Source organism: Homo sapiens, chromosome 9 (assembly GCF_000001405.40).
Source record: "Homo sapiens chromosome 9, GRCh38.p14 Primary Assembly".
Lineage (NCBI taxonomy): Eukaryota > Metazoa > Chordata > Mammalia > Primates > Hominidae > Homo > Homo sapiens.
Window position 1 is genome coordinate 13686178 of NC_000009.12, and position 13724 is coordinate 13699901.

The following is a 13724-nucleotide window of genomic DNA, read 5'->3' on the forward strand; positions in this document are numbered from 1 at the left end:
CAAAGTGCTCTGGGTCAGCACTGGGACTTAGCCATCTCCTTCTGTATTAGTCCATTTTCACACTGATGATAAAGACATACCCAAGACTGGGCAATTTACAAAAGAAAAAGGTTTAATTGGAGTTACAGTTCCATGTGGCTGGGGAAGCCTCACAATCATGGCAGAAGGCAAGGAGGAGCAAGTCACATCTTACATGGATGGCAGCAACCAAAAAGAGCTTGTGCAGGAAAACGCCCCCTTATAATAACCATCAGATCTTGTGATACTTACTGTCATGAGAACAGCATGAAAAAGAACTGCTCCCATGATTCAATTACCTCCCATCAGGTCCCTCCCACAATACGTGTGAATTCAAGATGAGATTTGAGTGGGAATACAGCCAAACCATATCTCCTTTTTTTGGAACAAGTCCTTTCCTTCAGTCAATAACTACATCCTGATTACCTACTATGCTCCAGAAACCCTATTAGGCTCTCTGCAGGGTACAAATAGCTACAGTCTTATCCTCAAACAATATTCAGAATAGCTGTGGAGCCAAGATACACAGAGTCACATGAAAAGATAAGTTAATAATGAAAGGAACTGGTACTTTCTGGCACTCTGGAATGTTCTATGTCTTGATCTAGGTGGTGCTTACACAGGTATCTACATATGTAAAAATTCAATCTACATATTTAAGATTTCTGTACATTTTAAGATTAAAAAGTAAGGCAAGGAATTATTTGTTTTACATGTATATATATCCTCATACAATTCCAAAAATGATTTGAACCTTTTTACAAAGATATGCACAATTACCAGATTGTAAAATAAATAAGGGAGAAAACTGGAGGAAAGAAAAATAAAGACAGGAAATAAAAATAAGCCAAAGTTAATGCTATTACTGCACCCAAGCACCGCCCCCCCAACCCCCGCCAAATACATGACATTAAGTGTCACTTGTTACTTGTGGTGGGCTACAATTCTGGCTCTGAGTCTATGAAAAGAGGGAGATGCCGGGCGCGGTGGCTCACACCTGTAATCCCAGCACTTTGGGAGGCCGAGGTGGGTGGATCACAAGGTCAGGAGATCGAGACCATCCTGGCTAACACAGTGAAACCCCGTCTCTACTAAAAAAAATACAAAAAATTAGCCGGGCATGGTGGTGGATGCCTGTAGTCCCAGCTACTCGGGAGGCTGAGGCAGGAGAATGGCGTGAACCTGGGAGGTGGAGCTTGCAGTGAGCCGAGATCGTGCCACTGCCCTCCAGCCTGGGCTACAGAGCGAGACTCTGTCTCAGAAAAAAAAAAGAGGGAGACATGACTCATGATGATCACAAGATAAAAACAAAATAGCAGCTCAGGAGAAGGCCACCTATTCTTGGTTTTGAGGACTGAGAGACATTTTTCCCCACGGGCCTGCATGAAAAAGACACTGTAAAATATATCAAATCATGTCCCCAATAACATCCATACAATATATTTCACAGTGCTTTTTGCTGGGTTGTTTCTCATAAAGTTTTTTTTTTTTTTTTTAATGTGGGATAGTGGTATAATAGCAGACCACAGTTCAACAAAAGCAATTATACAGGGACTAAAAGGACACAGGCCAGAATATGAAGTGTTATTTGAGTAAAATAGATATTCTCTTAGTTTCAAAGCAGGGGAGTAGAGATGCAATGTAGAGAAATTGAGAAAGCCTTCATTGAAAAGGAGATATTCAGCTGGACCTTGAACAAACATCGGAAGATATCAGATAAACTAACAGGAATGAAGAGGTCACTCAAAGAGGGACAGGTGCAACCAAGAGGTGGAAGAAAGAATATGAAAGAAAATAAGTCATCCAGGCTGGTTTATAATGAAAAAATGGGCAAGAAGACTGAGAAGGTAAGTTGAGACCAGACATTGGAGGTACCATAGGTCAGGCTAAGCAGTTAATTCATCATCTTAGAGATAAACGGTAGAGGGGAGCTGAAGTATTTCAGGCTTCTGGACAGAATAGTATTATGATAAAAGCTATTAATATTTAGGAAGATTCCTCTGACTGTCTTTGGCCAAATAAATTAGAAAAGCAAGTTTTGGGGGGGGTGGGGTGCAAAACAAAAAAGAAAAATTAGAAAAGCAAGAAGGACCCAAGTTAGAAAGCTCTTCCCTAAATTCTCTAGACAATGCCTCTGTGATAGAACTTAGAGGTATCCTATATTTACCTGCACACAGGTTAAGACTGGCTGAAGGTAATTGTTTCTAAGGCCACAATGAAGCCACACCCATAACCACCAGTTAGTTGCCTCTCCTGAGCCATGGTTTAAATTTAGGCTGTGGTTTGAAACAACAACAAAAAACAGCTAAAGAAACCAAGGAGGAAGTTTTGGATCTTTCTCAAAGCAACATGGAAAAGAAGGGAGAGATGGAAAACAAAATATTTTGGAAGGGAGTGGAAAAGATGACCTACTCATGGCACTAAAGGCATACAGGGCAAAGGAATGTGTATGTCTAGAACCAAAGAGCAGGGCTGCTTCTCTGGCGTCTCCAGGGGAAAGGAAAGATGTTATGCAAACCTGTATGAAAGGGGAATCACTTCCTCACATGGCTCAGGCTGTTGTTTACCAGAGTAACATTCGGGCTCCAACTGTCCTTTCTTATAGAGAAAGGCTGTCTCCTGCTGTTTGTGGATCCAAGGCCTGCTGAAAGCTGTTTAGAAGTGCATACCACTCCATGTGCAGCTCCTTCATTCCTTTGCTGTGTTTGCATGCCTCACCGAGCATATTCACTGTCCTATGCCTTGCACAAAACCCTCACGTTCCTTTTTGGAATGCCTCTGTGTCTCTGTGTGTACTTGAATCTCCAGGCCAATGAACATGAGCTTCCTCCTTCTCAGCACCTGAGGAAAGTTTAAACAAATGTAAAGGCATAAAAACCTTTCTTCTGTCCTGATCTAGTTGACTAATAATGTATATATTGTTTTCTGTTTTTGAAAAAACAAGAAAAAAAAAATCTCTCCCTGCCTTTGGAAAAAAGCATGACAAGAGGCTCCACCTGCTGGCCTAGGGGCTTCCAGAAGTTTCAGACCTATTATCTCAGATTGGAAATAACATCCATTCCTACTCTTCCCATTGGTAGTTTTGAAATATAGTGCCATGTCATAGTGTCCATGGACATCACTTGGTTTATGCAGTTCTCCAGCTATTCAAACAGTCTGTAAGCCAAATACTTCTGGTGCCATGAAAAGAGCATTAGACTAAGAGTCAAAAACTCTACAACTCCACCACTTACTATGACAATGACATTGGGAAAATGCTTTTCTCTAATTTTTCAGGTTTTTTTCAACTGTACAACGGGAATTACAAGCCTTTTCCTCTCCATCTTACAGGTTGGTGTTGAGAATCAAATTGAGAACATTAAGGACATGAACAACTTTGTAACTGAAACACCCTGTAGGAACAAACAAGAGCCATGGCTTTTAGCCTAGTGGAGCTTTGCTGTGAAGAACTTTAGGAAATCTCTTCTTGAAAGAAACTTTTCATGTTAGGGTAATTTCTACAAGGTCTTGGATCTTTGCTGACAGAAGGAAATTCTTCAAGTTGCATCCTTAATGTGATTTGCTCTCAATTCATCCTTAGATTGTGATGTTCCTCTACCTCTCCCAGTGTGGGAGTTGGTGGGGATGAAGAAGCCAGGAACTTTGGTAATAAATCAACCCAGAGGGCAGTTCTCCCTCTAAACTTCACATCTCACGTAAGGTAAATGATGAAAAAAAGCCCTTTCGCTTACTTTTGTAATTGGCCCTTTTCCATCCTACTAGCCACATAAATAAGTGGACTGGAAGGGCACCTAGAGATAACATAAAGCAATTCTCACACATGAAGGGCATGGTCTGAGCCTAAGGGACTCATGCAAAGTTAGCCAGCTAGCCAACTGGGCTTACACAGTTTTCAAGCTCACAGATGTCTAGGTCTAAACTTAGCAGAACTTATGAGACTCTGAGTAGCTCTGAGATCGTTACTCACCTTCCTATGACTTTGTTTACTCATTTAAAAATAGATATGGAAAATGATCCTACCTCAAAGGGCCCTAGGGTAGTGTGGGCACAAAAAGTACCTTGCCAAGTTATGACTCTTTATAAATGCGTTTAATTATTATCATTTAATTAGAATTTAGAAGTCTGTATTAAAGCCTAAGTTTTAGGATAGTTTTACATAAATGCAATTAGCTTATTTATATGCATTATGTAAAAAATATATTCATATATATTATAAATACCATATATTATAGAACATATGATATAGATAACATAATATATAACCCATATATATCATATTATAAATATATGTTATATAATATATAATGCATATAATTGTATGCACGTGTATTATAAAATTTTATAGACACTGAAGATATGATTACTATTATGAATATTCTGCTAAAAATTTGAAATAGGAAGCATCTAAATTATTTAAACATTTTAATTAATAAATTTCATTTTGTAGAGCAGTTTTAGGTTCACAGCAAAATTGAGCACAAAGTACAGGGTTTGCATTTACCCTGTCTCCACACTCACACAACTTCCCCTACTGTTACTCTCCTCATAGCACCATCATAATACATTTGTTATGATTGATGAGCCTACATTGACTCATCATCACCCAAAGTCCATGGTTTATATTAGAATTCACTGTTGGTATTGCTCATTCTGTGGGTTTTTGACAACTGTAGAATGACATGTATCTACCATTTTAGTAGCATATCGGATAGTTTCATTGTCCTAAAAATCTGCTGTGCTCTGCCTATTTATCTCTTCCTTCCTCCTAACCTGTGACAACTGCTGATCTTGTTACTGTTTCCAAAGTTTTGCTCTTTCCAAAATTTCATATAGTTGGAATCATACAGTATATGGTCTTTCCAGATTAGTTTCTTTCACTTAGTAATAATCATTTAAGTTTTCTCCATGTCTTTTCAAGGCTTGAAAACTCAATCTTTTTGGTGCATAATATGTCATTGTCTAGATGTACCATCATTTATTGATCTACTCACATACTAAAGGACATCTTGGTTGCTTCCAGCTTTTGACAATTATGAATAAATCTGTTATAATCATCTTGTGCAGGTTTTTGTATGGACAAATCTTTAATTGATTTGGATAAATATCAAGGAGCAAAATTGCTGCATCATGTGGTAAAAGCATGTTTAGTTCTGTAAAATACTGCCAAACTCTCTTTCTAGGTAGCTGTACCATTTTGCATTCCCACCATCAATGAATGCACATTCCTGTTGCTCCACATCTTCACCAGCATTTGATGTTGTCAGTGTTTTGAATTTTGGCCATTCTATTGGGTGTGTATCTCATTGATGTTTTAATCTGCAATTCTCTAATAATAAATGATATTAAGCATCTTTTCACATGCTTACTTACCATCTGTATATCTTCTTCCGTGAGGTGGCTTTTCAGGTCTTTTGCCCATTTTTATTTGGGTTGCTTACTTTCTTATTGTTGAGTTTTAAGAGTTCTTTGTGTATTTTGGATAATAGTCCTTTATCAGAAATGTCTTTTGCAAATATTTCCTTCCAGTCTGTGGCTTGTCTTCTCATGCTCCTGACATTGAGTTTCACAGATCAGAAATTTCCATTTTAATGAAGTCCATATTATCAATTCTTTCTTTTTTTAATTTAATTTTTAAGTTCAGGGGTACATGTATAAGTTTGTGCAGGTACATGTGCAAGTTTGTTTGACTTGTGTCATGGGTTTTTTTTTTGTACAGATTATTTTGTCATGGAGGTATTAAGCCTAGTACCCATTAGTTATTTTTCCTGAACTTTTCCCTTCTCCCGTCCTCCTCCCTCCAATAGGCCCCAGTATGTGTTGTTCCCCTCTAAGTGTCCACGTGTTCTCATCATTTAGCCCCCACTTATATGTAAGAACACCATGGTATTTGGTTTTCTGTTGCTGCATCAGTTTCATAAGGATAATAGCCTCCAACTTCATCAGTGTTTCTGTAAAAAACATAATGTTCTTTTTATGGCTGCATAGTATTCCATGGTGTATATGTACCATATGTTCTTTATCCAGTCTGCCATTGATAGGCATTTAGGTTGATTCCATGTCTTTGGTATTGTGAATAGTGCTGCAATGAACATACACATTCATGGGTCTTTATAATATAATAATTTGTTTTGGGGTGGGTATGTGACCAGTAATAGGATTACCAAGTCAAATGGTATTTCTGAGGAATTGCCACAGTGCTTTCCACAATAGTTGCAGTAATTTACACTTTCACCAACAGTGTATAAGTGTTCCTTTTTCTCTACAACTTCACCAGCATCTGTTATTTTTTACTTTTTAATAATAGTCATTTTGACTGGTGTGAGATGGTTATCTCATTGTGGTTTCAATTTGCATTTCTCTAATGATCAGTGATGTTGAGCTATGTTCCATATGATCACTGGTCACATGTATATATTCTTTTGAAAAGTGTCTATGTCCTTTGCCTGCTTTTTAATAAAGTTGTTTTTTTCTTGTAAATTTATTTAAGTTCCTTATATATTACTGGATATGAGACCTTGTCAGATGCATAGTTTGCAAAAGTTTTCTCCTATTCTGTAGGTTGTCTATTCACTCTGTTGATAGTTTTATTTGCTGTGCAGAAGCTCTTTCATTAAATTAGATCCCATTTGTCATTTTTTTCTTTTGTTGCAATTGCTTTTGGTATCTTTGTCATGAAGCGTTTGCCCATTACTATGTCTAGAATGGTATTGTCCAGGTTGTCTTCCAGGGTTTTTATAGTTTTGGGTTTTACATTTAAGCCTTTAATCCATTTTGAGTTGATTTTTGTATATGGTATAAGGAAGGGGTCCAGCTTCAAACTTCCACATATGGCTAGCTAGTTATCCAGGTGCCATTTATTGAATAGGGAGTCTTTTCCCCATTGCTTGTTTTTCTCAGCATTGTTCAAGACCAGGTGGTTGTAGGTATGTGGCCTTAATTCTGGGCTCTCTATTCTGACTATTGCCGTTGATTTATGTGCCGTTTTTGTACCAGTACAATGCTGTTTTGGTTGCTGTAGCTCTGTATTATAGTTTGAAGTTAGGTAACATGATACCTCCAGCTTTGTTTTTTGCTTAGCAGTGCCTTGGCTATTTAGGCTCTTTTTTGGATCCCTATGAATTTTAAAGTAGTTTTTTTTTAGTTCTGTAAAGAATGTCATTGGTAGTTTGATAGGAACAGCATTGAATCTATAAATTGCTTTGGGCAGTATCATCATTCCAATAATATTGTTTCTTCCTATCCATGATCATGGAAGGTTTTTCCATTTGTTTATGTCATTGCTGATTTCTTTGAGCAATGTTTTGTAGTTCTCATTGTAGCAATCTTTCACCTCCCTGGTTAGCTGTATTCCTAGGTGTTTTATTTTTAGGGGGGTGGGGGGCAATTGTGGATGGGATTGCATTCCTAATATGGCTCTCATCTTGACTATTGTTGGTGTATAGGAATGCCAGTGATACGTTGATTTTGTATCCTAAGACTTTGCTGAAGTTGTTTATCAGCTTAAGGGGCTTTTGGACTGAGACTATGGGGTTTTCTAGATATAGAATCATGTCCTCTGGAAACAGGGATAATTTGACTTCCCCTCTTCTTAATTGGATGCCCTTTATTTCTTTCTCTTGCCTGATTGCCCTGGCCAGGACTTCCAATACTGTGTTGAATAGGAGTGGTGAGAGAAAGCATCCTTGCCTTGTGCCGGTTTTCAAGGGGAATGCCTCCAGCTTTTGCCCATTCATTACGATGTTGGCTGTGGGTTTCCCTTAGATGGCTCTTATTATTTTGAGGTGTGTTTCCTCGATATCTAGTTTATGGAGAGTTTTTAACATGAAGGGGTGTTGAATTTTATTGAAAGCTTTTTCTGCATATATTGAGATAATCATATGGTTTTTGTCTTCAGTTCTGGTTATGTGAAGAATCATGTTTATTGATTTATGTTTGTTGAACCAACCTTGAATCCCAGGGATAAAGTTTACCTGATTTAGTGGATAAGCTTTTTGGTGTGTTGCTGGATTCAGTTTGCTAGCATTTTGTGGAGGATTTTTTCACTGATGTTCATGAATGATATTGGGATTTGTTGTTGTTGTTATATCTCTGCTAGGTTTTGGCATTAAGATGATGCTGGCCTCATAAAATGGGTTAGGGAGGAGTCCTTCCTCATTAATGTTTTGGAATAGTTTCAGTAGAAATTGTCCCGGCTCTCCTTTGTACATCTGGTAGAGTTCAGCTGTAAATGCATCTGGTGCTGGTACTGGACTTTTTGGTTGGTAGGCTATTTATTACTGAATCAATTTCAGAGTTTGTTATTGGTCTGATCAGGGATTAAATTTCTTCCTGGTTCAGTCTTGGGCAGGTGTATGTGCCCAGGAACTTACCCATTTCTTCTAGATTTTCTAGTTCATGTGTGTAGAGGTATTCATAATATTCTCTTAGGTTATTTGTATTTCTGTGGGGTCAGTGGTAATATCCCCCTTGTCATTTCTGATTGTGTTTATTTGGATCTTCTCTTTCCTTCTTTATTAGCTAGCAATCTATCTATCTATCTATCTATCTATCTATCTATCTATCTATCTATCTATTCCCAAACAACAGCTAGCAATCTATGTATTTTATTTTATTTTTTTTCCAAAAAAAAAAGCTCCTGGATTCATTGATCTTTTGAGCGGTATTTTTGTGTCTCAATTTCCTTCAGTTCAGCTCTCATTTTGGTTATTTCTTGTCTTCTGGTAGTTTTGAGATTGGTTTGCTCTTGGTTCTGTAGTTCTTTTAATTGAGATGTTAGGTTATTAATTTGATATCTTTCTAACTTTTTGATGTGGGCATTTAGTGCTAGAAATTTTCCTCTTAACACTGCCTTAGCTGTGTCCCAGAAATTCTGGTATGTTTTGTCTTTGTTCTCATTAGTTTCAACTAACTTCTTGATTTCAGCTATAATTTCATTATTTCCCTAAAAGTCAATGAGGAGCAGATTATTCCATTTCCATGTAATTGTATTGGTTTGAGTGAATTTCTTAGTCTCAGTTTCTAATTTAATTGCGCTGTGGTCTGAAAGATTTTTTTGTTATGATTTCAGATCTTTTGTATTTGCTGAGAAGTGTTTTACTTCAGATTATGTGATTAATTTTAGAATATGTGCCATAAGGTGATGACAAGAACGTACATTCTGCTATTCTTGGGTCAGTAGTTCTGTAGATGTCTGTCAGGTCTACTTGATCTAGTGTTGAGTTCAGGTCCTGAATATCTTAATTTTCTGTCTCAATGATCTGTCTGAAGTCGTCAATGGGGTGTTAAAGTCTTCCCACTATTTTTGTGTGGGAGTTAAGATTCTTTGAAAGTCTCCAAGAACTTGCTTTATGAATCTGGGTGCTCCTGTGTTGTATGCACATATATTTAGAGTAGTTAAATCTTGTTGAAATGAACCCTTTACCATTATGTAATGCCCCTCTTTTTTTTTAATCTTTGTTGGTTTAAAAATCTGTTTTGATTGAACCTAGGATTACAACCTCTGCTTTTTACTGTTTTCCATTTGCTTGTTATATTTTTCTCCACCTCTTGATTCTGAGCCTAGGTGTGTCATTGTACATAAGATGGGTCTCTTGGAGACAGCATTCCAATGGGCCTTGGTTCTTTATCCAGCTTGCCAATCTGTGCCTTTTAATTGGGGCAGTTAGCCCATTTACATTCAAGGTTAGTATTGATATGTGTGGATTTGATCCTATCAATCATCTTGATGTTAGATGATTATTTCGCAGACTTGTTTATGTGGTTGTAAAGTGTCATTGTTCTGTGTACTTCAGTGTGTTTTTGTAGTGACTGGTAACGATCTTTCCTTTCCATGTTTAGTGCTTCCTTCTGGAGCCCTTATAAGGCAGGTCTGGTGGTAACAAATTCTCTCAGCATTTGCTTGTCTAAAAAGGATCTTATTTCCTCTTCATTTATGAAGTTTAGTTTTTCCAGATATGAAATTCTGAATTCTAATTTCTTTTCTTTAAGAATGTTGAATATTGGCCCCCAGTCTTTTCTGGCTTGTAGGATTTCTGCTGAGAGGTCCACTGTTAAGTCTGATAGGCTTCCCTTTTTAGGTGACCTGACCTTTCTTTCTAGCTACATTTAACATTTTTTCTTTCATTTCGATCTTGGAGAATCTGATGATTATGTGTCTTGGCGATGATCTTCTTGTGAAGTTTCTTACTGGGGGGTCTCTGCACTTTCTGAATGTTGGCCTCTCTAGCTAGGTTGGAGAACTTCTCATGGATGATACCCTCAAGTTGAGTCCATTTTCCTCGTCTCTTTTAGGGACACCAGTGAGTTGTAGATTGGTCTCTTTATATAATCCCATATTTCTCAGAGGTTTTGTTCATTCCTTTTCATTCATTTTTTTCTATTCTTGCCTAACTTATTTCAGAAAGTTGGTTTTCCAGCTCAAAATCCTTTTCTCTGCTTGGTCTATTCTGCTATTAATAATTTTAATTGCATTATGAAATTCTATTAGTGTGTTTTTCAGCTCTATCAGGCCAGTTATGCTCTTTTCTATACTTGCTAAATTTTTCTGTCAGGTACTGCATTGTTTTATCATCATTTTTAGCTACCTTGGATTGGGTTTCAATGTACTCCTGTAGCTTAATGATCTTCATTTTTATCTATATTCTGAATTCTATTTCTGTCATTTCAGCCATCTCAACCTGGTTCAGAACCCTTGCTAAAGAAATGATGTGGTCGTTTGGAGGAAATAAGGCATTCTGGATTTTTGAGTTGTCAGGGTTCATGTGCTGGTTCTTTCCCACCTTTGTGGGCTTATCTACCTTCAATCTTTGAGGTTGCTGACCTTTGGATGAATATTTTTTTCTTTTTTCCTATTTGAAGATCTTTAGGGTTTGATTGTGGAATAAGGTGGATTCAGCTGACTGGCTTCATTTCTGAAGGATTTTAAGGCGGGGGGCAATGCCCAGCTCCCAATTCCTGAACTGTGTGCTCTAACTGCAGAGGACTTATACTGGGTCCTGACATTATTTCCTGGCTCCTCTAGGTTAGGAATTTACTGTGCTGATAGAGGCCGAGGTGTTTCCAGACTGCTGGTCACTACACTCTGATGGTTGATGTCAGCCAAAGCATTTTGTAGTGCGATGACTATAGGATCCATCTTTGTTGGCATGTGCCTGCGGCAGTTGCAGCAAGGTGCTAGTGGGTGCCAGGCTGCCTTCCTTCCTATGGGCATTCACCACAGTGGTGGAGGCAACACAGCTCGGGGGAGGGCAGGGAGACTTGCTGGCAACTGTGTGTGCAGTGGTGCTGGTGGTAGTGTTTGCCAAGGGGTGGAGCACTGGTGGGCAGAGATTTGGTTGCCTTCTCTGTGCTGTGCAAGCAGGAGTGGTTGCTCAGGTTTGGGGAGGATCTGCTACTCTCTGTGCCTAGATTCACTCCCATGGCAGTGTGAGCACAAGGGCAGGATGCTGGTGGGGATGGGGCTGCCTGGCTGTATCCCAGCCAAGGCTCCGTCTGCAATGGTGGTGTGCAGGGGAGGGGAACAGATGAACTGCACTCCTGCACGCTGGAAGGGCAAGGAAAGCAAAACCTGTCCATGTGACCATGTGCTAGCAAAATGATGTGGGGAGATGCCATGGGCCTGGGGGAAGCTGCAGTGCAGGGAAGAATTACGCAGGCTGGTGTGTAGCCACAGGGGCCACCTTGCTGGAGCTCTGTGCTGGTCAGGCATAGTCAACCAATTCAGTTGCTATGATGTGGCACCCGGGGTTGTCCTGCAAACACATGTGGCCTGGCTGGAACCCCAGGAGAGGCCACCAGACCAAGTAGTGCTCAGGTCAGACCAACCCCATCTGATGGACAAGACTGCCCTGCAGAGGGTCCAACAGTTCACCTAGGGCTAAAGTCACTTATGGGAGCAAGTCAAGCCTAAGGGGACAGCCTTCCCTGGCTGTGCTCCACTACAGATGGTCCCACACCAAACCCTCTGGGCTACACATCAGCTGGTTTACTGCTCCTACCACATGTCTAATCTGCTTTCCCTGCCAACTCAAGTGTCCATGGTGGTTGAGGGGTCTCTTCCTGCTGGGGATCTAGAGGCCCGTGGCACTAGTGGGTTGCTCCTTGCCTGGTCAACTCAGTCATTCCCCTGGAGTGGTTGGGAATCAGGAAAAAATTTGGTTGCACAGTAACCTGTAGCCCTGTGTATGGTTCCCACCTTCTTCCCCCTTCAGCTCAGCTTCCATATCTTCCCTCTATCCACTCTTGTTGCTTTCCCTCTGAAGATCTGTTAGGAGCATGGCAGTCATCTTGGTCTCTGTGGGAGCTATTCCACCTCACTGCATCTAGTCCATCATCTTTCCTTCCACCCCCTCAATTATTTCTTCCATGTATTGCTCATTGAGTGTTGTATCTAAAAAGCCATTGCCATAATGAAGTCATCAAGATTTTCTTCCATATATCTTTTAGGAGTCCTATAGTTTTGCATTATTAGATCTGTGATCTATTTTTAGTTAATTTTTGTGCAGGATGTGAGGCCTATTTCTAGATTATTATTTTTTGCATGAGGATGTCCAATTGTTCCAGCAGCATTTGTTGAAAAAATTATCTTTGCTCCAGTATATTGCTTTTGTTTCTTTGACAAGGATCATTGATTATATTTATGCAGGTCTATTTCTGGGCTCTCTATTCTATTCCATTAATCTGTTTGTCTTCTGTTGCCAATACCATACTGTCTCAATTCCTGCAGCTTTGTAGTAAGTCTTGAGGTCAGATAGTGTCAGTCCTCTTACTTTGTTCTTCTTCAATACTAAGTTGGCTACTCTGAGTCTTTTGCCTATCCATATAAACTTTAGAATCGGTATGTCAAAACTCACAGAATAACTTGCTCATTTTTACTGAGATTGCACTGAATCTATAGATCAAGTGGGGAAGAATTCTTGACAATATTGACCCTTCCTATCTATGAACATAGAGTACATTTCCATTCATTTAATTCTTCCTTGATACCTTGCATTAGAGTTTTACACTTTTTCTCATATAGATATTATACATATTTTGTTAAATTTATACCTGCATATTTCATTTGTTTAGTGTTAATATAAATAGCTTTTTGTCTTTTATTCAAATTCCACTTGTTTATATCTGGTGTATAGGAAAGCAATGAAATTTTGTGTATTAATCTTATATTCTGTGACCTTTCCATAATTGCTTATTAGTTCCAGAAAGTTTTTTATTTTTTCTGATTTTCTTTTTTTTTTTTATTATACTTTAAGTTTTAGGGTACATGTGCACAACATGCAGGTTAGTTACATATGTATACATGTGCCATGTTGGTGTGCTGCACCCATTAACTTGTCATTTAACATTAGGTATATCTCCAAATGCTATCCACCTGCTCCCCCTACCCCGCAACAGGCCACGGTGTGTGATGTTCACCTTCCTGCATCCATGTGTTCTCATTGTTCAGTTCCCACCTATGAGTGAGAACATGCAGTGTTTGGTTTTATGTCCTTGCGATAGTTTGCTGAGAATGATGGTTTCCAGCTTCCTCCATGTCCCTACAAAGGACATGAACTCATCATTTTTTATGGCTGCATAGTATTCCATGGTGTATATGTGCCACATTTTCTTAATCCAGTCTATCATTGTTGGACATTTGGGTTGATTCCAAGTCTTTGCTATTGTGAATAGTGCCGCAATAAACATACGTGTGCATGTGTCTTTATAGC

At 38.9% G+C, this 13724-nt stretch overlaps 3 annotated features.

Annotated features, from left to right (window-relative positions):
• Positions 2349–2889: an enhancer, noted in NCBI's record as "OCT4-NANOG hESC enhancer chr9:13688525-13689065 (GRCh37/hg19 assembly coordinates)". NCBI's record gives its function as "activates a minimal SCP1, AML or CMV promoter by ChIP-STARR-seq in naive H9 embryonic stem cells {active_cell/tissue: H9 hESC(naive)}" and the evidence as "EXISTENCE:reporter gene assay evidence [ECO:0000049][PMID:30033119]".
• Positions 10798–11415: an enhancer, noted in NCBI's record as "H3K27ac-H3K4me1 hESC enhancer chr9:13696974-13697591 (GRCh37/hg19 assembly coordinates)". NCBI's record gives its function as "activates a minimal SCP1, AML or CMV promoter by ChIP-STARR-seq in primed H9 embryonic stem cells {active_cell/tissue: H9 hESC(primed)}" and the evidence as "EXISTENCE:reporter gene assay evidence [ECO:0000049][PMID:30033119]".
• Positions 11416–12032: an enhancer, noted in NCBI's record as "H3K27ac-H3K4me1 hESC enhancer chr9:13697592-13698208 (GRCh37/hg19 assembly coordinates)". NCBI's record gives its function as "activates a minimal SCP1, AML or CMV promoter by ChIP-STARR-seq in primed H9 embryonic stem cells {active_cell/tissue: H9 hESC(primed)}" and the evidence as "EXISTENCE:reporter gene assay evidence [ECO:0000049][PMID:30033119]".